Here is a 4,557-nt window from a genome sequence, read left to right as displayed (position 1 = left end):
AATAGAGTGGGGGCCAATATTCAACATTCTTAAAGAAAAGAATTCTCAACCCAGAATTTCATATCCAGCCAAACTAAGCTCCATAAGTGGAGGAGAAATAAAATCCTTTACAGACAAGCAAATGCTGAGAGATATTGTGACCACCAGGCCTGCCCTAAAAGAGCTCCTGAAGGAAGCACTAAACATGGAAAGGAACAACCAGTACCAGCCACTGCAAAAACATGCCAAATTGTAAAGACCATAAAGGCTAGGAAGAAACTGCATCAACTAACGAGCAAAATAACCAGCTAATATCATAGTGACAAGATCAAATTCACACATAACAATACTAACCTTAAATGTAAATTGGCTAAATGCTCCAAAGAAAAGGCACAGACTGGCAATTTGGATAAAGAGTCCAGACACATCAGTGTGCTGTATTCAGGAAACCCATCTCATGTGCAGAGACACACATAGGCTCAAAATAAAGGGATGGAGGAAGATCTACCAAGCAAATGGAAAAGAAAAAAAGGCAGGGGTTGCAATCCTAGTCTCGGATAAAACAGACTTTCAACCAACAAAGATCAAAAGAGACAAAGAAGGCCATTATATAATGGTAAAGGGATAAATTCAACAAGAAGAACTAACTATCCTAAATATATATGCACCCAATACAGGAGCACCCAGATTCATAAAGCAAGTCCTTAGTGACCTACAAAGAGACTTAGACTCCCACACAATAATAATCAGAGACTTTAACTCCCCACTGTCAAGATTAGACAGATCAATGAGACAGAAAGTTAACAAGGATATCCAGGAATTGAACTCAGCTCTGCACCAATCAGACCTAATAGACATCTACAGAATTCTCCACCCCTAATCAACAGAATATACATTCTTTTCAGCACCACACCACACCTATCCCAAAATTGACCACATAGTTGGAAGTAAAACACTCCTCAGCAAATGTAAAAGAACAGAAATTATAACAAACTGTCTCTCAGAACACAGTGCAATCAAACTAGAACTCAGGATTAAGAGACTCACTCAAAACTGCTCAACTACATGGAAACTGAACAACCTGCTCCTGAATGACTACTAGGTACATAACGGAATGAAGGCAGAAATAAAAATGTTCTTTGAAACCAACGAGAACAAAGACACAACATACCAGAATCTCTGGGACACATTCAAAGCAGTGTGAAGAGGGAAATTTATAGCACTAAATGCCCACAAGAGAAAGCAGGAAAGATCTAAAATTGACTCCCTAACATCACAATTAAAAGAACTAGAAAAGCAAGAGCAAACACATTCAAAAGCTAGCAGAAGGCAAGAAATAACTAAGATCAGAGCAGAACTGAAGGAAATAGAGACACAAAAAACCCTTCAAAAAATCAATGAATCCAGGAGCTGGTTTTTTGAAAAGATCAACAAAATTGATAGACTGCTAGCAAGACTAATAAAGAAGAAAAGAGAGAAGAATCAAATAGATGCAATAAAAAATGACAAAGGGGATATCACCACCGATCCCACAGAAATACAAACTACCATCAGAGAATACTAGAAACACCTCTACCCAAATAAACTAGAAAATCTAGAAGAAATGGATAAATTCCTCAACACATACACCCTCCCAAGACTAAACCAGGAAGAAGTTGAATCTCTGAATAGACCAATAACAGGCTCTGAAATTGAGGCAATAATCAGCAGCTTACCAACCAAAAAAAGGCCAGGACTGGATGGATTCACAACCAAATTCTACCAAAGGTACAAGCTGGAGCTGGTACCATTCCTTCTGAAACTATTCCAATCAATAGAAAAAGAGGGAATCCTCCCTAACTCATTTTATGAAGTCAGCATCATCCTGATACCAAAGCCGGGCAGAGACACAACAAAAAAAGAGAATTTTAGACAAATATCCTTGATGAACATTGATGCAAAAATCCTCAATAAAATACTGGCAAATCGAATCCAGCAACACATCAAAAAGCTTATCCACCATGATCAAGTGGGCTTCATCCCTGGGATGCAAGGCTGGTTCAACATACGCAAATCAATAATGTAATCAAGCATATAAACAGAACCAAAGACAAAAACCACATGATTATCTCAATAGATGCAGAAAAGGCCTTTGACAAAATTCAACAACGTTTCATGCTAAAAACTCTCAATAAATTAGGTATTGATGGGACGTATCTCAAAATAATAAGAGCTATCTATGACAAACCCACAGTCAATATCATACTGAATAGACAAAAACTGGAAGCATTCCCTTTGAAAACTGGCACAAGACAGGGATGACCTCTCTCACCACTCCTATTCAACATAGTGTTGGAAGTTCTGGCCAGGGCAATCAGGCAGGAGAAGGAAATAAAGGGCATTCAATTAGGAAAACAGGAAGTTAAATTGTCCCTGTTTGCAGATGATATGATTGTATATCTAGAAAACCCCATCATCTCAGCCCAAAATCTTCTTAAGCTGATAAGCAACTTCAGCAAAGTCTCAGGATACAAAATCAATGTGCAAAAATCACAAGCATTCTTATATAACAATAACAGACAAACAGAGGCCAAATCATGAGTGAACTCCCATTCAAAATTGCTTCAAAGAGAATAAAATACCTAAGAATCCAACTTACAATGGATGTGAAGGACTTCTTCAAGGAGAACTACAAATCACTGCTCAAAGAAATAAAAGAGGATACAAACAAATGGAAGAACATTCCATGCTCATGGATCGGAAGAATCAATAATGTGAAAATGGCCATACTGCCCAAGGTAATTTATAGATTCAATGCCATCCCCATCAAGCTACCAATGACTTTCTTCACAGAACTGAAAAAAACTATTTTAAAGTTCATATGGAACCAAAAAAGAGCCTGCATTGCCAAGTCAATCCTAAGCCAAAAGAACAAAGCTGGAGGCATCATGCTACCTGATTTCAAACTATTCTACAAGGCTACAGTAACCAAAACAGCATGGTACTGGTACCAAAACAGAGTTATAGACCAGTAGAACAGAACAGAGCTCTCAGAAGTAATGCCGCATATCTACAACTATCTGATCTTTGACAAACCCGAGAAAAACAAGCAATGGGGAAAAGATTCCCTATTTAATAAATGGTGCCGGGAAAACTGGCTAGCCATATGTAGAAAGCTGAAACTGGATCCCTTCCTTACACCTTATACAAAAATTAATTCAAGATGGATTAAAGACTTACATGTTCCACCTAAAACCATAAAAACCCTAAAAGAAAACCTAGGCATTACCATTCAGGACATAGGCATGGGCAAGGACTTCATGTTTAAAACACCAAAAGCAATGGCAACAAAAGCCAAAATTGACAAATGGGATCTAATTAAACTAAAGAGCTTCTGCACAGCAAAAGAAACCACCATCAGAGTGAACAGGCAACCTACAGAATGGGAAAAAATTTTTGCAACCTAGTCATCTGACAAAGGGCTAATATCCAGAATCTACAATGAACTCAAACAAATTTACCAGAAAAAAACAAACAACCCCATGAAAAAGTGGGCAAAGGATATGAACAGACACTTCTCAAAAGAAGACATTTATGCAGCCAACAGACACATGAAAAAATGCTCATCATCACTGGCCATCAGAGAAATGCAAATCAAAACCACAATGAGATACCATCTCACACCATTTAGAATGGCAATCATTAAAAAGTCAGGAAACAACAGGTGCTGGAGAGGATGTGGAGAAATAGGAACACTTTTACACTGTTGGTGGGACTGGAAACTAGTTCAACCATTGTGGAAGTCAGTGTGGTGATTCCTCAGGGATCTAGAACTAGAAATACCATTTGACCCAGCCATCCCATTACTGGGTATATACCCAAAGGATTATAAATCATCCTGCTATAAAGACACATGCACACGTATGTTTATTGCAGCACTATTCGCAACAGCAAAGACTTGGAACCAACCCAAATGTCCAACAATGATAGACTGGATTAAGAAAATGTGGCACATATATACCATGGAATACTATGTAGCCATAAAAAATGATGAGTTCATGTCCTTTGTAGGGACATGGATGAAGTTGGAAACCATCGTTCTCAGCAAACTATCGCAAGGACAAAAAACCAAACACTGCATGTTCTCACTCATAGGTGGGAATTGAACAATGAGAACACATGAACACATGAAGGGGAACATCACACACCGGGGATGATTGTGGGGTGGCGGGAGGGGGGAGGGATAGCATTAGGAGATATACCTAATGCTAAATGACTAGTTAATGGGTGCAGCACACCAACATGACACATGTATACATATGTAACAAACCTGCGCCTTGTGCACATGTACCCTAAAACTTAAAGTATAATAATAATAAAATAAAATAAAATGTTTGAAGCTTGCAAAAAAAATAAGTAAAAAATAAAACAAAATCTAGAATTGCTATAAAACACTATCTAAAATATCTAGTTTACAAACAAAACTTATGACGCAACAAAATGGGAAAAAAACCCTGGCAATAGAAAGTTACTCTGAATGGGCTCACATGTTATATTGAGCAGACAAAGCATTTAAAGCGAGTATTATAAATATGTTAA

Source organism: Homo sapiens, chromosome X (genome assembly GCF_000001405.40).
Source record: "Homo sapiens chromosome X, GRCh38.p14 Primary Assembly".
In the NCBI taxonomy this organism is placed as follows: domain Eukaryota; kingdom Metazoa; phylum Chordata; class Mammalia; order Primates; family Hominidae; genus Homo; species Homo sapiens.
This window is presented reverse-complemented; position numbering follows the sequence as displayed.